This window comes from Homo sapiens, chromosome 3 (assembly GCF_000001405.40).
Source record: "Homo sapiens chromosome 3, GRCh38.p14 Primary Assembly".
NCBI lineage: Eukaryota > Metazoa > Chordata > Mammalia > Primates > Hominidae > Homo > Homo sapiens.
This window is the reverse complement of record NC_000003.12, coordinates 72,672,670-72,698,112: the sequence shown is the minus strand read 5'-3', so window position 1 is coordinate 72,698,112 and position 25,443 is coordinate 72,672,670. Positions and strand designations below refer to the sequence as shown.

At 47.1% G+C, this 25,443-nt stretch overlaps 1 long non-coding RNA gene and 1 pseudogene across 1 annotated transcript in view; both read left to right on the top strand.

Moving 5' to 3' along the window:
• The window catches only part of LOC105377161 (uncharacterized), a 134,312-nt gene that overhangs the window by 18,329 nt on the left and 90,540 nt on the right, over positions 1-25,443 (top strand). The window contains exons 3-5 of the long non-coding RNA XR_940962.3: positions 5,849-6,021; positions 12,306-12,418; positions 13,316-13,391. This is a non-coding gene — a long non-coding RNA (uncharacterized LOC105377161). The remainder of the gene's footprint in view (positions 1-5,848; positions 6,022-12,305; positions 12,419-13,315; positions 13,392-25,443) is intronic.
• On the top strand, positions 6,302-6,408 carry RNA5SP136 (RNA, 5S ribosomal pseudogene 136; annotated as a pseudogene).

Genomic DNA, 25,443 nt, shown 5'->3' with positions numbered 1-25,443 from the left:
GAAACAAAAAGAGAAAGTGCGTGGAGTGAATATGAAGAAGGAAGGAGCAAAAGAAAGAAGTACAGGAGAAAGGCACATGAATCTAGGAGGGTCTGTCCTAAGGACAGCAGAAGCTGGAAGCGGAGTAAATAACAGAATTGACAGGCATACTTATCATTAGTCTCCATGCCTATGTCTGTGGCAGGCATCACCAGTCAATCACAGCAATCCTCCAGCTGGCCTCAGAAATAGCCTCAGAATCCTCCTCAATCCAGTGATCCAGGTTATCACTACTAAACCACCATGTTGGTGTTTGAGTTGAAACCTTCCTCTTGTTTGGGTTATAAGCTCTTGCCAAACATTTAGGAAGAAAACTTGGACCAGAAAAGCAGATCAAGGCAATGAGGACACAAGAGCAGTAAGGAAGGGGGCGTTCGGACTGCCACATTCCTGGCTGAAGGGCAGAAGGAGTGGGCCCTTTGCAGTCTCAGAGACTGGAGCTCTGTCTCCAACCCTGTTCCACTTATCAGACAGTCCCATTTCCCTGACAGTAAAATAGGGAGATGAAGGGGCTGGATTGAAGCCATAGCCTCAGAGTTGAGTATAGGAGATCCTTGGAGATGGAACATAGAGAGAAAAAAGGCTTATTCTAGTCATCTCTAGCAGTGGCTTGAAATAGTAGGTGCTCAATAAAAAATCATCGAAAGAATTGAGCAAGGAATGTGCAGGGCTGGAAAAGAATATTGATTCACCACTGGTGGGAGCGATGTACCCTTTTGGAAGGATGCCGTGGACCTATATATAAGCTTAAAAATGTGGAGAACTTTTGACCTTTATTTCTAGGAATTTATCCTAGGGAGAATTGCTTGACCCTGATAGGTGGAGGTTGCAGTGAGCCGAGATTGCCCCACTGCACTCCAGCCTGGGCAAAAGAGCGACACTCCATCTCAAAAAAAAAAAAAAAAAAAAAAATTCTCCGCCTGAAGTGTGTTTTTTATGCTTATAACAAGCAAAGGGTCAGACTTTTGCTGAGGACAGGTAAAATCAAAATGCGCATGCTCCCTACAGGGGAGATTCCCAACTGGAGGGAGCTTTGCTTGAATGAGCTTGACTACAGTGAGGATGCTGGGGCTTATTGTGTTGACCGTAGGTCCCCACTGTTGCTGTGTCCTGAGGACATGGTTACTTCCTTGACTACCTAACCTGCTTCAGGTGAAGACCACACAGCCGTTAAAAATGATGCTGCCTAGAAATGTTTAATGACAGGGGACTACATTTATGTCATTAGTGAATAGAAAAAAGTTATTAAAAAAGCAAGTACTTACTGAAAAAAATTAAATATATTTATGCACAGTAAAAACAATTGGAAGTATATGGGCCAAAATGTTAAAAAATATTTATCTGAAGGTAGTTGTATGATAGGTGGTGTTTAGTTTTTCCTCCTACTTTTCTATGTTTAAAACATTTTTTCACAATAAGCAAATTAGTTTTGTAATAATTAGAAGGTTTAAGAATAATTGACAAGCTGGGCATCGTGGTGTGCACCTGTAGTCCCAGCTGCTCCGAAGGCTGAAGTGGAAAGATCATTTCAGCCCAGGAGTTCGAGGCTGCAGTAAGCTGTGATTGCACCACTGCACTCCAGCCTGGGCAACAGAGCAAGACCCTGTCTCTAAATAAATACATACTTTTTTTATTTTTTATTTTTATTTTTAAATTTACAGCAACACCAGCCTGAAAATTAATTTTTTAATTAAAAAAAAGATCGACAGGCATTTATACTTGGTCATTTTTACACAGAGACATGCCCTTATACACATGGTATATGTGACTTTAGATATCTGAACTCTTTTGGCTACTTTAATCATGATGTGCAATTAGCTAATGTTTAATAGGCATGAACACTTAGTATGTAAATGCCAGGCACTGTGTGAAGCTTGCTTCATGTTTGCCTCATTTAACTCTCACAGCAGCACTGGGAGGGAGGTTCTGCTGCCCTCTCCGTTTTAGGTATGAGGAAACCGAGGCACAGGGCATAAGTTACCCACTCCTCCCACCCCCCTCCCCTGGCTGCTGAGGGCTGAGAGCTGAGGCAGACAGGCTATCTCCAAAACTCACACTGTCAACTTTCTGTTGCTGCCTCCAGAATCTTAGCAGGAAATTGTCAACATTCTAAGATTGAACCAAGGGGGATTAAGTAATCACGTTTGCAGTAATTTTGAGAGCCCAAAATTAAATTCACATTTTTGTGTACGTGTGTGAGTTCTTGTCAGGAAAGAAAATGATAGAATTAAAGTATCATGAGAAGATTCCTTTTTATAATGAAGCCTTCCTCGCCTGCTTTCTGTTACCCAGGCTGACACATTACAGCAATAAAAAGTGCCTGAAAAGGCTGTGCCTCATGGTATATCAGCTTGGAAAGGATGAGAGATAGTGCACTGAAAGCCCCTTGCTTTAGTCAGCTGTTTTCCTTGTCCTGCATACAGGTCTTCGAAGTTGCCCGCTGCATTGGAGAACCACTGAGAGTCATATATATTTATTGTTTCTGAATGGCATCTGTAGTTTCAATGTCCCAGCAGAGCGTTTTAAGGAAATTGGGCCTTCAGGGTGGACAGATGGAGGGGAACCTTCTCCGGCCATCCTAGCTGACCCCTGTAATCACTCATTTCCCTTTGAACAAACCAGAGCTGTCCCTGAGAGAAGAAAACTGTTTAGCACCCTTTTTGGGGCAGCCCTTTCTGGCAACTGGGGTTTCTTTTGTTTGTTTGTTTCATGTTTTTGGAGACAGAGTCCCACTCTGTCACCCAGGCTGGAGTGCAGTGGCATGATCTTGGCTCACTGCAACCTCCGCCTCCTGGGTTGAAGCGATTCTTGTGCCTCAGCCTCCTGAGTAGCTGGGACTACAGGCATGTGCCACCACACCTGGCTAATTTTTGTATTTTTAGTAGAGACAGGGTTTGGCCATGTTGCCCAGGCTGGTCTCAAGCTTGTGAGCTCAAGCAATCTGCCCACCTCCGCCTCCCAAAGTGCTGAGATTACAGGCATGAGCCACCACACCTGGCCTGGGGTTTCTTTAAGCAAGGGTGAAGGCCCCAGGGACACCCTTCATACACCAGGGCTGTGTTTGGGAACTGGGAAAAGTATAGCCACGGACTTGCCAGGGGGAGGGTTTCAGACCCAGAAGGAAGGACGAAGGAAGGAGGGAAGAACAGGGACTTGGAGTCCTGACTTTGACCCTCACTTAGCCATGCAGTCTTGGACAAGGGACTTCACTTCTCCCAGCTGCAGTTTCTTCATCTGTGAAGGGGCAGAAATCTGTGCCTCCTAGGTTTCCTCCCCTCTCCCTTCCTTCCTTTCCTGTCCTTCCTTCTTTATCTCCCTCTCTTTCTTGCTTTTAGGAATGAGTAAAACAGGATATATAAATGTGTCAGATGCTTGGCACAGAGGGGATGCTCAGCAAAGACCAGTGAAGCAGTATCTGTTTGTGGTTACCGCTGACAGCTCTGGAATCCAACAAAAACAAAACGTGGTAAAAATGGCTGCAAACGCTTTGATCCTTCTCCCATTGAGAGGCCAGTGTCCTGTCTCCTTCAATCTGGCCAGGCTCTGACAGCCTCGAGGTGTTGCTTTGCTAGACTGTGGATGCGGGCCTGAGGCGGTCCCCACTTGCTCTCCCCTGGGCCCCTCTCTGCAGCCCTGAGCTGCCCTGTGAAAAGGTTAACTACCCTGAGACTGCTGTAGGAGATCACCCCTGGGCACTGCAGGCAACAGTCCCAGCTGGGCTGCCCACCCTGCCACCCCCTGCCATGGCACCAGCCCCGTGAGAGGAGCTGTCTTGGATCCTTCAACTGAGCCCCTCTGCCCGCTGAAGACCACAAATGACCTGGGTGACCCTCCGTAGAGCTGATCCCTTCCCAAGTGGTCATTGTTTTAAACCATGAAGTTTTGGGGTAATTTGTGACACAGCAATAGATACTTGGAACACCAGGGTTTGAGTTATTCCTTTACCAATAGCTAACTAGTTGTTTGATCTTTAAAGATTACCACTGGATGCTCTACTCTCCTCACCTTTAAATGGGGACAAGAATAGTCCCCACCCTCTAGGATCTTAGCAAAGTTTAAATGAGGTAACTTGGCCAGGCACGGTGGCTCACGCCTGTACCCCAGAGCTTTGGGGAGGCCAAGGTGGGAGGATCACTTGAGCCTAGGAGTTTGAGACCAGCCTGAGCAACATAGTGAGACCCCCATCTCTACAAAAAATTTAAAAATTAGCCAGACGTGGTGGTGCATGCCTGTAGTCCCAGCTACTCAGGAGGCTGAGGCTGGAGGATCACTTGAGCCTGGGAGGTTGAGGCTGCAGAGAGCTACGATTACACCACTGTACTCCGGCCTGGGTGACAGAGTAAGACCCTGTCTCAAAAAATAATAATAATAAATAAAAAAAAGAAATTCCAGCAAAGTGCTTGAGGCAGGGCCTCGTACACATGAGCACTTGAAAGTGCTAACTATGACTGCTATCATTCCTCTCCTAGACTTTGCCAGCAGGATAATGAAAGAGCAAAAGGAAGGAAGCACTCAGACCACGTACACTGGGGGGCAGTGGGCCCTGGGCAATGCTCTCTGTTTCCCAATGAATAGAATTATCTTAATCATACTTAATCCTGTTCTCATGAGGGTGTTTAAAATTGGAAGGGTAATCTATTAGATTTCCTCTGAAAAAAGTTGCCCTAGTGAACCTGTGGGGCTGGCAAGGGAGTTAAGAGCCTCTTCTCCGTCTGCACGTCATGCCCCGCCCTTCTCTCCTGGAAGATGTTAGTGCAGGTGGATCAGGCTGTTTGCACAGCCTCCTTCTTGTTTTCCCTTTCTCCTTTTGCTTCACAGGCTTTTCTTCGCCCAGTGGTGGGGCAGCCAGGCCTGCGCCGAGGGAAACACTTGGGCTGCTGATCTCCTGGCTGCTGGTGGAGCCCATGGGAAATTTGCTCAGTCAGCAGGCTGGTACCTCACCATTCCCAGCTGTGCCTGCGTTCCACAGCCCTTGGCCCCCGCAACGACTCCAGGCTCCCCTTGGCTTCCTTTTATACTGATTGCAAGTCTTAGAGACTGGAGGTGTTACATCAGGCTGCTGAGCTGTTTGTTTTCTAGGAGAGGCTGGGGCCTGTGATGTGGAGAGCCTGGGACTGAGGTGGAGGCAACAGCAGAATAATGTAAAGAACAACTGTGAGCTTTGGGGTCATTCATTCATTAATTCAGCAAATACACCTGAGCACCCACCAAGTACCAGGCACTAGGCCAGGCACCAAGCTAGAAAATTTGGGTTTGATGCCCGATTCCTCAACTTAAAAGTTATATCCAACATCCATCCAGCAGAATGGCTAAAACAAAAAGGTAGACAATCCTGAGTTCCTTTTTTTTTTGAGATGGGAGTCTTGCTCTTTTGCCGAGGCTGGAGTGCAGTGGGGTGATCTCGGCTCACTGCAACCTCTGCTTCCCCGGTTCAAGTGATTCTCCTGCCTCAGCCTCCCAAGTAGCTGGGATTACAGGCACATGCTACCATGCCTGGCTGATTTTTGTGTTGTTAGTAGAGACATGGTTTCACCATGTTGGTCAGGCTGGTCTTGAACTCCTGACCTCGTGATCCTCCCATCTTGGCCTCCCAACGTGCTGGGATTACAGGCCTGAGCCACCGCGCCCGGCCTCAATCCCAAATTCTAAGGAGGCAAATAAGCAATTGGGATTCTCAGATGCTGCTGATGGGAGTGTAAATTGGACTACCACCTTTGGAAAGCAGAATCTCCTAAAGCTGAACATATGTTTCCCTTCTAAATGCATGAGAAGAAATGCCTGAGAAGGTTCATAGCTGTGTCTTTTGTAGGAGCCACCAACTGGGAACAACCCATAGGCCCAACAGCTCCAGAACGGGCATCCACACCACAGAATTCATGCTGCAACGAGAATGAATAAGACGAGTGCTACGCGCAACAACACTGGTGACTGTCGCAAACACCATGTTGCAGGAAGGACATTACGGATAAGAGAGTAAACATGGTATGATTCCATAGATGTGGATTTTAAAACAGGCAAAGTGAGTGGACGGTGTAAGTGAGGGCGGTAGTCACCCTTGGGAATTAAGGGGTGGGAGGGCGCAGGAGAGGGGCTGGCAGGGACGTCCTGTTTCTTGGTTGGAGGCTGGAAGGGACGTCTTGTTTCTTGGTTGAGATACTGGTTACACGATGTGTTCACTTGGTGAAATCCATCCAGCTGTTTCCTGACAATGTGTATATTTTTCTGGGGTGCACTTTAATAAAAGGTTGGAAAAATGTTATCCGTCTGTGGCCATACCACCCAGAACGCACTCGATCTCATCTTATCTCCAAAGCTAAGCATGGTTGGCCTGGTTAGTACTTGGATGGGAGAAAACTGTTATCCTACCTTGACCAAATGGCTTTCCCTCTTTAAGCTTGGTTTCCTCTTCTACAAAATATGGATAATGTTGCCTTGGTCATAGGGCTAAGGTTATATAGAGGTTTAATTAATATGAACACTGTCATGAACTACCTAAAACAGGTTAGGTGCTTCATAAATTTTGACTATTGGCCAAGCACGGTGGCTCGTGCCTATAATCCCAGCACTTTGGCAGGCCGAGGCAGACAAATCACTTGAGGCCAAGAGTTCAAGACCAGCCTGGGCAACATGGTAAGACTCTGTCTTTACAAAAATAAAAATAAATGACTCTTATTATGATTTTTATTACTAATAATATCTTTTTCATAGACTTACATGTCTCTGAATGCCTAAGGTGTTTTTTAAAAAAAAAAAAAAAACTGGGGAAAATGCCATTATTATTCAAGTGAGAAAGAAAAAAACACCCCTAAAAAAGGCTACTCTGTGGGTTGAAATTATTTTGCTGAAAATAGCTCCCTCTTTTGAAAATGCTCATTTTTTATGCTCCCCAAATCCCTTTTCCTATATGTGCTCTGTGGCTGAAATTTTGGGGAGAGAATGTCACACCGCTTGGAAGAAATGTCCCCCGTCCTTTCTCCACACATTTAGAGAACGTGACTAAGGATGGATTTTTCAATTCCTCAGGAGCTGAAAACATGTTGCAATAGAGTTTATACCTCTCAGCCCAGATTTTCCTCCACTTTTTATGGAGCTGTGTGTCATGAAAAGGTTTAGTGGTTCACCCATGCCCTTCCACGGCCTGAATGCGATTTCCAGCCCCTGGAGAAATTCCCCATGCTTCACGGCTGGAAGCAAAGCTTTTGCACTCTGGATATCACATTACATCAACTTAGAAAGTGTAATCCTGGAATTAGCCATTGGCCGCTGAAAAACAGACACAGCTAGTCACAGCTGAGGGAGGAGAAAGGCCTCAGAAGGAAGCCTGGGCTCCAGATCAAGGGGAGGCCCAAAGGATCAGCAGTGAGGGACCTCAGTCCTCCCTGTAAAGGGCTGGCTGATGCTGGCTGGTCCCAGGCATTTCCCTCACCCTCTGCGAGACAGGCCTGTCTGCCCACAGGCACAGGGTCTGCGGGTCCAGGATAGAGATGCCTAAGGGTCCTGCTGATGCACTTGGGCAGACTTGACTTCAATGTCCAGGCAAGTCTGATGTGATGTATCACAGAAATGGTGGCTGCCTCTCTGCCACATCACTGGCTCACTCTTCCTTAAAAGGATGGGATTCAGACCGGGCACAGTGGCTCACACCTGTAATCCCAACACTTTGGGAGGCCGAGGCGGGTGGATCACCTGAGGTCAGGAGTTGGAGACCAGCCTGACCAACACGGTGAAACCATGTCTCTACTAAAAATGCAAAAATTAGCCAGGCGTGGTGGTACGTGCCTGTAATCCCAGCTACTCGGGAGGCTGAGGCAGGAGAATCGCTTGAACCTGGGAGGCGGAGGTTGCAGTGAGCTGACATCGCACCATTGCACTCCAGTCTGGGCGACAGAGCGAGAAGCTGTCTCAAAAAAAAAAAAAAAAAAGATGCGATTCAAGTCAGCCTTACCTAAATGACCTCAAGCAATTGCTGTACTGAACTCCCTCCATCCCCCAGCCTCCTGTGTTTTCCCTCATCGAAGAGAGGGAACAATTATCACAGATTCCCCCTCCTTGGGCTTATGGGGCAGTGAGAAACCAGAATTTTGTGGAGGTCACAGCATTCCTGGAGGAGAATTTAATAGCATGAATTGAAAGTCTTTAAGAAGTATAACCCTTCTTATCTTAGGAATTGATCCTAAGGAATTTTGACTAATGTGCAAATGTATTTATTTATATTTTAGTTCATTAAATATTTGGTAAGTGCTTGGTAAGTAACTGAGACTTAACAGGTGGTAGGCACCATGTAAGATGTCCCATGCATTATCTGGCAGGCTGCTCAGGGTGACCCCATGAGATGCCATGTCACCATCTCCATTTTACAGACAGAGAAACTGAAGCCTTCCAAGGTTAATTCACTGCTCACAGCCCAGAGCTAATTGCAGGCAGAGCTGGGTTTGCACCTGGTGCCTCTGAATCGACAGCATAAACTCCGGATCATTTCTAACCTGTTTCGTTGCATAGGCTCTGTGCAAAGGGTGGGCTTAGGCAGGCACAGCCTTGATCTCTCAGAGCGTTCTGCATTCCAAAGGAGACCAACACTGAACAAAATCTACATGTGTGGTTACTTAAGGAAACACGCAGGGCGCCACAGGAACATGCGACTTGGATGTTCCTGAAATTGTCAATTACCAGTCTGTAAGAAAGGAAATAACCGGCCGGGCGCGGTGGCTCACGCCTGTAATCCCAGCACTTTGGGAGGCCGAGGCGGGCAGATCACAAGGTCAGGAGATCAAGACCAGCCTGGCTAACAGGTGAAAACCCGTCTCTACTAAAAATACAAAAAATTAACCAGGCATGGTGGCGGGAGCTTGTAGTCCCAGCTACTCAGGAGGCTGAGGCAGGACAGTGGCGTGAACCTGGGAGGCGGAGCTTGCAGTGAGCTGAGATTGTGCCACTGCATTCCAGCCCAGGTGACAGAGCAAGACTGTGTCTCAAAAAAAAAAAAAAAAAAAAAAGAAAGGAAATAACCAAAATGTCTGACAATTAGGGTTTGGCTAAATAAATTATGTAAGTCCACACTTTGGAATAGTGAGCAGCATTAAAATAAACATCACAGGGCTGTGTTTATTGACATGGAAAGATGTTCCTGTCACATTTAAGGGAAAAGGGTGATTACAATAAAAAAATTCTGTGTGTGTGTTTGTGTGTGTGTGTGTAGGCATAGAAACGACACATTACAAGTTTTCTCTGGGTTTGGGGATTATTTATAGATAGTTTTTTCTTTCCATCTCTCTGACCTTTCTGATTTAGGGGGGTAATTAGCATGTATTCCATGTCTAATTGGAATAACCAGCTATTTCCATTTGAGGGGAAAATAGCTGCTGCCTTTTGAGGCACACAGATGGCTGGGACAGAAGACCCTAGCTCCTTGTTCTTATGAAAGGTAAAGGAATCACTTATAGATGATGAAGGCTGGTCCGTGTTCTGTAGAACCGAGGTCCTCAAGTGCAGGCCATAGATCTGCATTCGAATCACCCAGGGCTGCTGGTTAAAATGTAGCTTCCTGGGCTCCACCCTGATATCACTAACAACTCACATTTACTGAGCATTTGTTATTATTATTGTTGTTGTTTAGATGGAGTCTCGTTCTGTTGCCCAGGCTGGAGTGCAGTGGCGCGATCTTGGCTCACTGCTAGCTCCACCTCCTGGGTTCACGCCATTCTCCTGCCTCAGCCTCACCAAGTAGCTGGGACTACAGGTGCCCGGAACCACGCCTGGCTAATTTTTTGTATTTTTAGTAGAGACGGGGTTTCACCATGTTAGTCAGGATGGTCTCGATCTCTGACCTCATGATCCACCCGCCTCGGCCTCCCAAAGTGCTGGGATTACAGATGTGAGCCAATGCGCCTGGCCTACTGAGCATTTTTTATGGACTAGCCATTGTTCTAAGTGCTTGACACTTACTAACTCATGTAATCCTCATGAATCCTAAGGTATATACATAATTATACCCATTTCACTGATGAGAAAGCTGAGGCACAGACTGTTTGACCAGCATGCCCCAGTGAGAGAGCTGGTGGCCGGTAGAGGGGATGCCAGTCCTTGTTCTCAGCTGCAAGTCTGAACTCAAATCACTACCCTGAGAGGGCGGGGTCTTAGGAATCTGGAGTTCTAACCAGCTCTTCAGGTGGTCCACGCACACACTGAAGTGAAGTAGCACCACTTTAAAGAATCTTTTCCTCTCAGAACCACTTTCAGTGCTTTGGTAAGAAGCAGTGGCTGGGCGTGGTGGCTGACGCTTGTAATCCCAGCACTTTGGGAGGCCGAGGCGGGCAGATCACTTGAGGCCAGGAGTTCGAGACCAGTATCTACAAAAAAAATACAAAAATTAGCTGGAAGTGGTGTCGCACGCCTGTAGTTCAAGCTACTTGGGAGGCTGAGGCAAGAGAATCGCTTGAACTCGGGAGGCAGAGGTTGAAGTGAGCAGAGATCATGCCATGCACTCCAGCCTGGGTGACACAGTGAGACTCCGTCTCAAAAAAAAAAAAAAAGTAGCGGATCCATTTTACTCAACATCTGCTACGAAAAAACTGTCTTCTTGAAGTCATTAGAACAAAAATATATCTGAGATTCTCAGCCGTGGTTAAGTCATCATGTGTAAAAAGTGGACGGGGACCAGGCACAGTGGCGCATGCCTGTAATCCCAGCACTTTGGGAGGCCAAGGTGAAAGGATTGCTTGAGCTCAGGAATTCGAGATCAGCCTAGGCAACATAGTGAGACCTCATCTCTACAAGAGAGAAAAAATAATAGCTGGGCATGGTGGCATGCACTTGTAATCCCAGCTACTCCAGAGGCTGAGGTGTAAGGATTGCTTGAGCCCAGGAGGTCAAGGCTTCAGTGAGCTGTGATCGCACCACTGCACTCCAGCCTTGGCAACAGAGTGAGACCCTGTCTCAAGAAAAAAAAAAAGTTGAATGGGCTGTGCCAACTCACTAGCCTAATTATTCCTCCTCTTCTTCCCTTCTTTGGAAAATTTCTTTCAGGCAAACTTTTATTCAGAATCCAACTTGTAAAATGTTAAAAAGTGGTGCTGCTCTATCTGAAGTTGGGAGGTGGGGGTAGATGTGTGTGCAGGGTTCCATAGGCCCCTGAAGATCTCCTTTCTGTTTCCAAAGGCTGAAGGGCTTTGGAAACAGTTTGAAAGGTGGGGACAGTTGAGGAGAGGAGGCCATGACTGCCCAAGGCCACCCAGCTAGCTGGTTTCAGTCTCAGGACCAGACCCTGCTGCCCATCTCCAACTAAAGACTAACACAAATTGCTTTACAAGGTTGACCTGCTGTGTAAAGATACCCACTGGTGGCCAGGCGCAGTGGCTCATGCCTGTAATCCCAGCACTTTGGGAGGCCAAGGTGGGCAGATCACTAGGTTAAGAGATCGAGACCATCCTGGCCAACATGGTGAAACCCTGTCTCTACTAAAAAATACAAAAATTAGCTGGGTGTGGTGATGCGTGCCTGTAGTCCCAGCTACTTGGGAGGCTGAGGCAAGAGAATCGCTTGAATCCGGGAGGTGGAGGTTGCAGTGAGCTGAGATCACACCACTGCACTCCAGTCTGGCGAAAGAGTGTGACTCCTTCTCCAAAAAAAAAAAAAAAAAGAAAAGAAAAGATACCCACTGGCCCAAAGGGTAGCTTGGCAGAGTTACTATGTTGAAATATTGCCTTGCAGGTGCCCTACCCTGGGTGGCACAATTCCATGGGCCCTGTTTCCATCATGTGCCATGGAGTTGGCTTTAGGGGGTTGCTACGCATATACATTACAGATAGATATATGGTGGCTTCTAAAGTGACGAAGGTCCAAGAACCCACGGAAGTTCCTTGATTTTGGAATTAAGGTGAAGTCGGGCCCTTGAAGGAGCAGATTAGTCAGCCTCCAGCATGAAAGTGACAGCCTGTGAGCACAAGTCTTCCAACCTGAGGTGGCAAACCACAACAGTGACCCTTCCAATTAGCACATGTGTCCTGGGCCTAGCTCTGGAAGCTGTCATGGTGGACATGAGATGGGAGTATGGGTGGCATGGAACCCAAAGAAAGAGAACTGGGAGATTTGGTCTCTGTGCTTGGGGCTGGAGAATGGGGCCTGAGGACCCTAGTCGAATGGAAGTGTGAGACTGTGGATCATGACTGGATGCTGGAGCGTGCTTCCTGGCCTATTCACAACATCACCTTTGATGCACCCAAGCCCTCTGAGGCAGGTACGACTCAGTGTGTATTTTTTCCATTTTGCAGATTAGGAGATTGAAGCTCAGAGACTTGTTGGAGCTCACAGCGGCACTGGGACATTTGGACCAAGAGCTTTTCTCCCTTCCGAGTCAGTGCATGATGCCAGAGAACATCCCTGGGTGAGGTTCGAAGAGAGTGGCCTGAGAGACTTTTCTATCTGGGGAGTGTGAGGTCCATATTTCCTGCAGGGCTTCCCCACTTACAGTGTCTCTCAGCCTCACTGATGACCTGCACCTGGCTGGGAGTTCTTTTGGTCCCTTCCCTACCTCAAGACCTGATTTGACTGCTCCAATTTACACAGGGAGGGAAGGAATTAAGAAGAAAAGAAAACACTCCTAAACATGAAAGAAATCACAGTCTTTCTCCGGAACTAAAGGCTTTTACAGGAGTGCAGGGGGAAAAAAATCTGATCATTCTTGGCAGCTTTTGAACAAATTAGGGTGTTGGAAGAATGGATGAAAGACTGAGGGGTATGTTGGAGTGTGGAACAGTTGCACAGTCCTAATGAAACAGAGCAGGCTTCCCCAGTGAGTGCCTGTCCCCTGCTACGTCTGTGAAGTCAGGGGTAACATTGGAGTCTAATGCTGGGAAACAGCCATTGCCCTTTCAAGCTCAGCTTGAACCACATTTCCTCAGGGACTCTTCTTGATTCCTACACTAGGCTGGCCGGTTTATTTATGTGGTCTTCGTGTCCCCTGCACTTGACCTTTGTAACCCACATTGTTCTTGTAATTCTTTGTCCGGTACCTGTCTCCCTGTTTTGACTGTGAACTCCATAAGGGCACAGGCTTGTCTACCTTGTTTGCCACTTGTACTCCTTAGGAATCTTTTAGGTACAATAAACAGAAGATACAAACCAAGGTGAACTAGCAAAAAGGAACTTTTTTTCTGCCCAAGGGTAGAGTTAGCTTCAGCCTAGGTTGGATTTAGGGGTTCTGAATTAGCCAGCCAGATTTGATCTCTTTCCCTCTCTTGGATCCACTTCATTTTTCTCTTTGTGTTGGCTTTATTCTCAGGGTTCCCATGGTGCTGTTATGGCTGTCCTGTTTCTTACCCTAGATGCTTTCAGGAAAGACTAAGATCCTTTTCCTGGTGAGTACAGCAAAATTCCCAAGACTAACTCTGATTGGCTTGGCTTGAGTAATATGTCCATCCTGAACCAATCACCATAGCCCAGACAGCATGGTGCCCTGATTGACCAGTGTAGCACACATGGATCATTGTTTACCCAAAAGCTATCCCCTCTTCTTCCTTGATAACAAGAACCCATCAGGTATCTTTTTGTTTGTTTTTTTTTTTTTTTTTTTTTGCCCACCTCTTGATACCCATTAGGTATCAAGAGTTGGGCAAGATCCTCACAGAAGGTGACCTCTTCCCAATCCAGGAAACTATTCATGGTAATCTCATTCCCTTTTGGTGGGAATTGGTTTAAAAGGGTGCATTGTAGGCTGTGCACGGTGGCTCATGCCTGTAATCCCAACACTGTGGGAGTGCTAGGTGGGCTGATCACTTGAGGTCAGGAGTTCAAGACCAGCCTGGCCAACATGGTGAAACCCTGTCTCTACTAAAAATACAAAAATTAGCCAGACATGGTGGCACACGCCTGTAATCCCAGCTACTCAGGAGGCTGAAGCAGGAGAATCATTTGCACCCGGAAGGCGGAGGTTGCAGTGAACCGAGATCGTGCCATTGCACTCCAGCCTGGGCAACAGAATGAGACCCTGTCTGAAAAAAAAAGGGTGCATTGCCCCACTTCTGACAAAGAGGACACAATGCAAAGTGTACTGGAGAAATGTTCTTCTCTGGCAAGTCAGGTCTGTAGGGGTGGGGCTAGCTGCCTGCCCAACCCTTCTTGCCTTTGGATATTGTTGTAAGAGGATGGAAGTTTGGAGCGGCTGCAGCCATCTTGCAACCATGAAGCAAGATAATGCTAATATATAGAGGTTGGCAGAGTGGGAAAAGGTCTGCCCCTGGCTATTTTGTTGTTTTACTTGTACTAGCATGTACCTGTGGCTTAAAACAAAGAAGAAAAAATACTGTACACAGGCTCCTGGAACCCATTTGCCTGCATGTGCAGTGTCAGAAATGCCTGGGATTTACATTTCTACCAGGGCAGCCTTTACCCATAACTGTCTGATGCAGAAGTCTGAAAGCCTAGCACCTTTGCTTTGAATTGGGACAACCTCTGAGGCATACTTTACACTCCAGAGCTTGCTGAAGGATCAGGCTGAGGCCTGGACTTTGCTTGAAATCAACCTTTGACTGGAGTCTTCCCTTCCCTGTCCTGCTCCCCCCACCCCCACCCCCTGCCAGACACCCCTGGGAGCACTTCCTTAATCAATCGCTTGCACACAAATCGTTAGCTTCTTCTGGGGGACCTGTCGTATCACCAGGGCTTACACATCACAGCTGCTCTGTAAATATTTGTTGCCTGAGTGAATGAATACATGAATGGATGAACAAGCTGGGGAAATCACAGGCAGGTGGAATCTGAACAGGTTATTATACTAATTACAGGCTGTCTACTTTTTTTCCCTTTGCCTCTGTGAAACAGGTTGGCCCTTTGGGGAATTTCCCCAAAGCTTTTGAAGCAGACAAGGTGTCTTCTCGCTAGACTCATATGCTTCCTAATTGGGCAGGCCATTAGAAAATGAGTTCATCTCCCCAGGGAAGGAGGAGGGGACTTATCACTCAGGACAAGGGCCCTGGGGTGGGGACAAAACTGCCTGAACATCTGCAATGTCTATTGTTACTTGAGCAGCTGGAGGGAATGACCATTCTGGAATAAATCAACTAAACCTTTGACCTGAACTCCAGTTTAATTCACTCTTCCCCTCCATTAGCTAGTGTGAGGGATGGTGGGGGGGCAGAAGGGGAGGGATAACATATTTTATTTTTATGGCATTTTTATTCCAAATGACCTGTTGGGTCAAACCCACTCTCCTTTCATGAATTATGCATTAAAGGAGCCCTTTTGCTTTCCTAATGGCTTTAGTTGAGTTCACCTCCCAGAAAGATAAAACAAAAAATCAAGAATTTCAGTTAAAAAGTTCACCTCTTGCCATATCAATTGACATGGTTTTAATTGGGTCATTCCATAAAGAGTCTCTGTTGATACAATTTTCAAGCTTCCTAGGGTCTTAGAAATCATCCAACTCTATCCTTGTATTTCAGGAGGGAGGATAAAGAACCTGGAGATGAGAAATGACATGCCCAAGTTCACACAGCTACTGAGTGTCAACAGCTATTAAGAGAAAGGGATGGGAATATTCCACTCACTTTATTTCCAGTCCAGTGTTCTTTTGTGCAAGGAAACCTAGAGAGGTAATATAGTTGCCATGGCTGCAGAACAAATTGTTCCAAAACCTAGTGGCATAAAACAATCACTCGTGGATTCGGTGGATTGGGAATTCGATAGGGCAAATGCTTCTCCATGCTTCTTGGTGTCTGCGGACTGAGCTGAAAGGGACAAAGGCTTGGGGCTGGGTTCATCTGAAGACCTGTTCATTCACGTGAATGCTGTCTGTTGACTGAGGCTTTAGCTGGAGTCATTGGCTAGAACCTCTATATGTGGCCTCTCCATGTGGTCTGGGCTTCCTCACAACATGGTGACTGGATCCCAAAGGAGAGAGTCCTGAGAAAAAGAGAGAGAGAGAGAGAAATAAAGATTGGTGGAAACTTTTATTGACTTAAAGTCACTCAGTGTCACTTCCACAACATTCTATTGGTCATAGCAGTCCAACCGGTTTCAAGGACAGGGAACGCAGATCCTGTATCTCAATGGAATAGTGTTAGTCACATTGAAAGAGAGCATATTGAAGCCATCTTTGGAAAATACAATCTGCCACAAGAGAGTTAGGGCTAGTACCCATTAAGTTTGGCTGAACTGTTAATTTAGTATCTGTCTTTCCTATTGGATTATAATTTCCTAAAAGGCAAGGCGTGTGTCTGTCTTGTTTGCTGGCAAACCTGTGTCCAGCACAGGTGCCGCTGACTCAGAGTAAGAAATTAATATATTTTTGTTTGGAAAGTAAGTATCAAAAAGAAAGTCTTCATTGGCTAAAAATATACTCAAAGATTTTCCTCTCCTCTTCTCAGTAAACTTTCCCATTCATCAAGAACTTGACAGCCGGGTGCGGTGGCTCATGCATCTAATCCCAGCACTTTGGGAGGCCGAGGAGGGTGGATCATTTGAGGTCAGGAGTTTGAGACCCGCCTAGCCAACATGGTGAAACCCTGTCTCTACTAAAAATACAAAAATTACCGAGGTGTGGTGGTGGGCGCCTGTAGTACCAGTTACTAAGGCGGCTGAGGCAGGAGAATTGCTTGAACCCAGGAGGCAGAGGTTACAGTGAGCCAAGATCATGCCACTGCACTCCAGCCTGGGTGGCAGAACGAGGCTCCATCTCAAAAAAAAAAAAAAAAAAAGAAAAGAAAAGAAAAGAACTTGAACACCAGTACCATCTTCCCTAGAGAGTTGATTGATTGGGAGAGATACTTAGCTTAGTCTTAGTCAGAGACGTTGTCCTGGGGGGTGTTATATGTAAGAGGAGCCCTGGAGGATGAGAAGGGGAAGCCAAATGAAGAGGCAGGAGGAAGAGCACCCCAAACAGAGGTAATAGCCTGTGCAAAGGTGGGAGTCAAGCCGTTCAGCATGGTGGGCACAGAGTTTGAGAGATTTGAGAGATGAGTAGCAAAAAGTCAGTAGGCTGGAGGGGCAGGCAGGACCTGGGTTATAAGGAGGACTTAAATGTCACCTGGAGGAGTTTGACTCATCCCTCAGAGTGGTGGGAAGCCACTAAGGAAGTGGCACCATCACATTTATGTTGGAAGGATCTGACTGCAGGGTGGGTGGTAGGATGTGGGGTGAGGAGGTGGACATCGTGGGAAGTGGGAGGCAGGTTGGGACATTGCTGGCAGAGATCATGATGCCAGAGCCGCATTAGAGGGCCGTGGGGCTGGCAGGAAGTGGGGGGATATTTCCAAGGAGGATTTAGTGACTAGTGACTAAATGGTGTAGGGCTGAGGCGGGGGCTGGGCCTGTCTGTCCTCAGTCTCTGGTTCAGGTAAGCACGTGGACAGTGGTCCTAGGCATCCAGCAGGGAACTCTGGAGGAGATGCAAGCTTTGAAACGGGGCTGAGGAGGAGTTCAGTGCTTTGGACACGTTTAGTTCCAGATGCCAGAGAGACATCCAAGAGTGAAGGTTCTAGTAGGCATTTGGATTCAGGAGACCAAAACTCACAGAGTAGTCCTGGCTATAAATTTGGACTGGGACCCAATACAGAGATGGAAACTGAAGGCACAGGAGTAAATGTACTCACAGTGGGAGGATGGGAAGAATGGGAGCAGAGCCATGGGTAAAGCATGTTTCCAGAAGGTTCTCCTGAGAGACCCAGGAAGGAAAGGAGCAAAATTCCATAGGATCCACAAGAGAGGAGTCATTGGCAATTTTCATAAGGACAGTTCCCCTTGTGATATATGGGAAGAAGGCAGATGGCAGAGTTGAAGAATAAGAAGGAGGTGAGAGAGTGATGAATGAATGAATAGCATTCCAGCAAAGTCTTCACATGCCTCCTCTAGGTCTGCTAATTCTGGAGATTCAGAATGGATTTGCCAAGAAAACTCCCAACGACCAGCCAGGAGAGGAATCTTTTCCACCAAGCTCTCTCTGTTTCAGAAAATAACCAATGTGTGTGTTGACCTCAGCATCCCTCCCTAGCAACCAGCATCTGTGTTTAAATTCGTGGGGGAGGGGTGCTATTATCTTGTGGCTATCCACACAGCTTCTGTGGTTACATCTGTTGTTTTTGTCTGTACAATAGCCATTTGTCATCATTTGGCTATTAACACCTCGATCTGGCTGGGACTCACTCCTTATCCCTGGCTCTGGGGATGGCACGTGTCCCAACCGTGGCCAATAAGACTCAGGCCTGAGATTTTTTGGAAACTATTGAGAAAGAGAAGCACCCCTTAGGCAGGGATGGCTGCCACCACCCCTATTAGGACTGGAGACATCCTGCCAGCAGAGACAGAAACAGATCCAAGAGACAGAGGGAGAAAAACAGTCTTGATAGCACTTCATGAGCTCCTGGATCCAGCCATGCCTGATACCATTTAATCCTTGGGCTTTTCAATTACATGAGTCAGTAAATTATCTATGTTTGCCTGTCAGAAAGGGTTTTGTGAGTTCTAGCACTGAACGAATGGTCCCAGCAGGAACAAACTGCCTAGGGATGGGGGCATAGGAGTGGAGTTGGTGGAGGAGGTTTACTTGATTTCCCCTCAGACATTTCACCAGGCATCTCATCCCCCAAGTTGCTACCTTAGCAATTCTCCCTCCTTTTTGCAGTCATCCTTCCTATTGTTTTTGCTTGTATTCCTATCTTTTTGTAAACTCCTCCTTGCTTAAAAAGCAGCATCTGAGATGCTGGCCTGAGGCCGTCTGCCCTTCCCAAGAGAATACACATGCTTGCTATTCTTTACAGTAAAACCAAGGTCCACATTGTGTTTCCCCAGGGCTCCCAGAACCTGAGTTGAGAGGTGGGGATTTTGCAGGGACTCCATCAGTGTGCAGCATCTGTACCTGCCTCCAGCGACTGCTGACACGAGCGGCCACATCTCCACACTTTCGCCCCACTACCTTATGTGTGCCACAACCCCTCCAACAATGCAAACTCTTGTTCATTTGCTCAGAACATGAATGAATCATGCCAGGGAAACTCCTGGCCACTGGACCACATTTTGCTGTGTTAGCAATAAACATCCCTTCATATTGTCATCATAGCCACAGGGGAAGACAGAGGTCTCCTGGCAGAGGAAGGGCGTGACACATTCCGCACTCTTTCTACTCCCTCCCTATGTCAGCCCTGATCTTTGTTTCCTTCTTTTTGCTTCAGAGCAAGCCTCCTTCTAAGGCCTTTAATTCCATGGATCATATTTTCTGTCTAGCTTCCATTTAATGGCCTGTCATGGGCCCATACCATGCCAGCTCCTGGGCGTAGTGGGGTTTGTGTATTTCAGTGTGGGCTTGCAGAATGACCCTGCATTATTTACTTTCCATCCTCATTGAGAATTATCAGGCTTAGGTGGGTTCCTCCCACCCTTCTTGAACTCTTCTTCCTATCCTCCATCCACCCTCTTCCCTCTATTTTATTCTTCCTGTCTGTCTTTCCTTCTCTCTTTCCTTCCTTTATTTTTTCCGTTTCTGTCGCTTCCTGTCTCCCCCCATGCCCTGGACTTTGGTCCTGTGGTTCCAGTAAAAGGAAAACATAGGGAATAATACGAAAAGCAGCCAGGCTTAGCCAATAAATCCTCTAATGCTTGTAATGGTTTTATTTTCTTCATGTTCATTCTAGTTTAAGAGGTCAATCAACATCTTTGAAATGCTTGTGGTTTACTACATGGAATCTTTAATTGAGGCACAGAAAACTCCTCTCTCCCTCTCTCCGTCTTCCTTCCCTCTCTCTCTTCCTTTCATTTGTTTAATAAATGTTTTTTGAGGGTTTTTTCTGGGGCAGGCCCTGGGCTAACTGCTAGGAATGGTGACTAGAAACATGGGTATGATCCTTGCTCTGATGATCTTACATCTATTGGGAGACACATGTTTTCACCAGATAATTCCACGTAAATGTATTCTCATAACCTCAGCAAATGCTTTGAGTTTCCACGATGGTCTACAGAGACACTGACCCCGACTATGGAGGTGTGGAGGGTTCCTCAAGGAGCTGATTTGAAGGATGAGTTTGCTTTTCTTTTTTTTGAGGGGTGAGGCGGGATGAAATCTCGTTCTGTCCCCCAGGTTGGAGTGCAGTGGCGTGTTCTCGTCTCACTGCAACCTTCGCCTCTCGGGTTCAAGCGATTCTCCCACCTCAGTCTCCCAAGTAGCTGAGACTACAGGCACCTTCCACCATGCATGGCTGATTTGTGTATTTTTAGAAGAAATGGGGTTTGACTATATTGGCCAGGCTGGTCTTGAACTCTTGACCTCAAGTGATCTGCCTGCCTCAGCCTCCTAATGTGTTAGGATTACAGGCATGAGCCACTGCCCCTGGCTTGAAGGGTGAGTTTTCTAGGTGAAGATCAGAGGAAAGAGCATTCCAAGCAGAAGGAACAGAATATGCAAAGGTCCTGGGGTGAGAGGAAGCAAAGCACCTTCATGGAATGTAAGAACAGTGTTACTGGGACAGAGAATGGAGAAGAAGAGGCCAGCGGGTGAACGGGGGCCAGATGTTCAGGACCTTTACCCTAGGTAAGAGTTTGGGTCTTCACTCCAAAAGCAAAGGAATGCCATGGCAGAGTTTCACCTGCCAGTGGAGGTGAGTGGGGATAATCAGTGCTGCATTCCTAAGCTCCAGCCTGGCTCTTGCTGCAATCTGGGTCGGGACGGGAGGCTCCTTGGGTGACCTGGGTGTGCTGGGTCAGATGTGGCATTGGTGCCAGGGTCTGGATTGAGGGTGCCAGGTTATTGTTCTGGCTTTTGGAAAGGGAGATAATCCTGCCTATAAACTTCCTGCGTGGGTTAGAGGATCCTATGAGATTAGCAGGTGGAAGAAGCATCACTGAGTACTGATGAGACCTTTGAACTGGAGACAGACATATTTGACTTTGTTAGGAGATCTTGGGCGGGTTTGCAGTTTCTCTAATCTCAATTACCTTTTCTATAAAATGGGGATATTAACACTAATGAATCTGGGTTATTTCTCTCTGCTGGTCATCCCTTTTTCAATTAGGATATGACCATCCCATGTGTGTCTGGTGGGACTGGCAACCCCTGTTCCCCCAATCCCTATTGGGTGAAGGGAGTGAGCATGTGATCTAGTCCCAGAAAATCATTGTGCCCCATGTCCCTGTCCACAGAAACTGATTTAAGGGAGTGGCCTAATCAGAGTCCCTCCATGAGATATGACATGGGGCTGTTGGAAGACAGCGTATCTTGCTTTTATATTATGAGTTGTAAGAGCACAGACTTGAGCTACTGGTATCCAATTTTCCTGGAAATAAAAAAAAAGAAAGAAACAGGGAGATTGGTGGGGATGGGGGAGGAGAGGGAGACAGAGAGGGAGAGAGAATCCCGTTTGAGAAACTTTGTTTGAGACCCTGGATTTAGTGGTTCCTGAAGCCAAGAATACTCCCTTGAATCTCTCAGTTAAGGAACCCATAAATGCCCATTTTGGCATAAGCCAGTTTGAGTTGGGGTTTGTCACCCACAACAGATGTGCTCTGCCTGATGCATCAAGTCATTGGGTTAATGGCAGTAAAGCACTGAAAGTCAGTATGAAATCTAGGCATGCAGAGTGCTCAGTAGTCACTATTGTTACTGTATTGGTGATAATTCATAGCTATAGAATGCATCGCTAAAGTATGGGCTGCTTCTCATCCCTGGGGTGTGGCCTCATGTTGCCCCACAAAAGGCTGTTAGCCACCACCATGATGCTTTCCTATTTGAAAGCCTTAGACAATGACTTGAGTTCTCCTTCTCTGCCTCCTCATCTCCCTCCAAAATTTGTGACTCCAGGCCAGGCTCAGTGGCTTATGCCTATAATCCTAACACTTTGGGAGGCCATGGCAGGCGGATCACTTGAGGTCAGGAGTTCGAGACTACCCTGGCCAACATGGCTAAACCGTGTCTCTACTAAAAATACAATAATTATCTGGGTGTGGTTGGGGGAGCCTGTAATCCCAGCTATTTGGGAGGCTGAGGCAGGAGAATTGCTTGAACTGGGGAGGCAGAGGTTGCAGTGAGCTGAGATAGTGCCACTGTATTCCAGCCTGGGTGACAGAGCAAGACTCTGTCTCAAAAAAAAAAAAAAATTAATCGTGACTCCAGTGTCCCCTGAGACTCTCTTGAAGTGACAGTGTTAGCCACTAGAGAGTGACCTGAAAGACGTGACTATGTTTAGATCTAATTCCAGAAGACCAGTCCCCTCCCAATCCAGTGGATTTCCCACTAACTTTTTTTTTTTTTAACAAAATGTAACAGCTATCTACTGCTGTATAATAAATTAGCCCAAAACTTGGTGACTTACAACAACAGAGATCTATTATTTCAAACCTTCTATTGGTCCGGAATTCAGAAAAGCTTAGTTGAGTAGTTCTGGCTCAAGGTCTCTCATGAGGCTTAAGTCATGACATTGGCCAGGGCTGAGGTCATCTGAAGGCTCAATAGGGGCTGGAAGATTCACTTCCAAAATAGAGCACTCATGGCTATTGGAAGAAGACTTCAGGTACTTGACATGGGAACTTCTCCATAGGACTGTTGAGTGTCCTTACAATATGGCAGCTAGCTTCCCACTCACCCCCCTACCCTCCCAGTGAGTTACCTAAGAGAGAGGAAGATAGAAACTGCCATGTTTTTTATGACCTAATCTGAGGAGTCACACTCTGTTATTTTTGCAATATCCTACTGATTGCACAGATGGGCCCCATTCAGTGTGGGAGGAGGTTGCACAAGGGCATGATCCCAGGAGGCCCAGGAATCACTCGGGGCCATCTTGGAGGATGGCCACTGCACTTATGAGGGGCAGTGGTTATCATTAAGTATCATTAAAGTTAGCAGTTTCTTCTTAGTCTGGTGGGACTTCTCTTCCCTGAGGAGTCCTTTGGATGCTCAGGATAACATAGCATCACCGAGGCACAAAAAAAACAAAAAAAAACCACTCTTCCTACAACTTTTGCTGGAAAGAGCTTTTAGCAGAGCTTGCAAATAACTCCTTAAATAAACTAGTGAAATGATGAAACTAATTTGCTGGTCTGTAATTTCCTGGCACATCTGGAGATTTACTAATAAATAGTAGCTGCAGCTTGGAAACCTGCCAGAATTACAGCCCTCTCCTGAGGGCTCCTTTTTTTGTCAATAAGGGATGTGTAAAAGCATCTTGGAGGGTTGGGAAGGCTGGTATATTGAGGAGAAAGAGCATTGGATGCCTGGGTTTGAGAGATGTCTTTGTCTCTTAACCACTGTCGTATTTCAAGTGAAACACATTCTTCTCTGTGCCTAAGTTTCTCCCTCTGGGAAAAGTGATGATAACCATGGACTTTCCTGACTTGCAGGGCTATGATGAGGTTTGAATGAGATGATGTAGCGTTTCTAAAAGAGTGGTACCTGGGATGATAGCACCATGGACTGTTCACCCCAAAAGGGGTCCTGTGCTGAAGTGAACGTGGAGAATTGTGTTAAATGAAGTCCAACCTTCACTTGCCTTCCCTGGCCACAGGTGGGTCCAGCTTCTTGGATGAGGGCCCAGTGCATCTGCACAGGGCCCCGTGCTCAGAAGGGCCTGCATTTGGAGTTTAATGCTTTGCAGTTGCTGTCTTGAAAATGTTTTATTAATTTATTTACTTATTTATTTTTGGAGAAAGGGTCTTGCTCTGTTGCCAAGGCTGGAGTACAGTGGCTTGATCTTGGCACACTGCAGCTTCCATCTCTCGGGCTCAGGCGATCCCCTGCCTCAGCCTCCCAAGCAGCTGGGACCACAGACATGCACTACCATGCCCGGCTAATATTTTGTATTTTTGGTAGAAATACGGTTTCGCCATGTTGCTTGGGCTGGCCTCAGACTCCTGGGTTCAAGTCATCCACCCGCCTCAGCTGGGATTACAGGCATGAGCCACCATGCCCCGCTGAAATTCTTAATACTTTTTTTTCTTTTTATTTCAGGCAGTGGCAATGTTAGACAAGATATTTTTATTTATTTATTTAGAGATCGCGTCTTCACTCTGTCGCCCAGGCTGGAGTGCAGTGGTGCAATCTGGGCTCACTGCAACCTCTGCCTCCTGGGCTCAAGCAATTCTCCCACCCCAGCCACCCAAGGAGCTGGGACTACAGGTGCCTGGCACCATGCCCAGATAATTTTTGTATTTTTAGTAGAGACGGGGTTTCACATGTTGGCCAGGCTGGTCTCAAACTCCTAACCTCAAGTGATCTGCCTGCCTTGGCCTCCCAAAGTGTTGGGATTACAGGTGTGAGCCACAGAGCCCAGCCTAGACAAGATATTCTTAGTAATTTTATCCTTGAAGTTGTGTTTTTTAAGTGAAGTCTGATGGGACAATGAAATGTGTGTCAGTGGCTTGGGGTCTTGACTCACATGTAGCCCCCTGCCCCACTGCTCCCTAGGGTGGGTTCTCAGCGGCCTGCTCCCCTTCACCGGCCTCCACTGGCTGGCTGTGCCCTGAGACCATACCACCCAGGGCCCCAAACCATGGTGCTCAAGGCCCATTGGCCTGAGAGGAGGCCCCATTTGTTGTCATCCTCTGCCCCGCTCAGGGGCCTGTGTGTAGGTAAGGAGAGGGCTGGGATCCAGTGCCCGATGCACAGTGTCTCAGGTCAGGGCAAGGTGGCAGCTATTCCAGTGTGGAGCTGACAGCACCTCTGCACATTTAGCAGGCAACTCAGTGGGGACCTCTCACCTACCTCTAACCCCGGTACTGAGGAAGTTGCAACCCCTTGGGGATTGTCTGTATGCTGTGATTTGAGGTGCCCATGAGAAGAGGAAAACGACTTCCCCACTGCCAGCCAGGGTGGTACATTTTCACTTTGCATTGGGTGCTGCAAATTATGCAGCAGGTCCTGCCTGCAGGACCTGTCAGATCCTTTGATAAAAATGTGTAGCAGGTCAGAATGCAGACATGGGAGCCAAACTGCCTGGGTTCAGGTCATGGCTCCACCACATACTGCAGTTTTGTCCTTGGCTAAGTCACCTGACTTTTCGGAGCCTCTGTATTTCCTCCCTCTTTCTTTCCTTTCTTTTCCTTCCTTCCTTCCTTCCTTCCTCCCTCCCTTCCTTCCTTCCTTTCTTCTTTCTTTCTCTTTCTCTCTTTCCTTCTTTCCCCCTTTCCTCCCATCCCCTCCCATCCTGTCACCTCTCCTCCCCTCCCCTTTCTTTTCCACAGAATCTCACTCTGTCACCCAGGCTGGAGTGAAGTGGCGAGATCTTGGCTCACTGCAACCTCTGCCTCCCGGGTTCAAGCATTTGTCCTGCTTCAGTATCCTGAGTATCTGAGATTACAGGCACCCACCACCACGCCCAGCTAATTTTTTTTTTTTTTGTATTTTTAGTAGAGATGGGGTTTCGCCATGCTGGCCAGGCTGGTCTCGACTCCTGATCTCCAGTGATCCATCCACCTCGGCCTCCCAAAGTGTTGGGA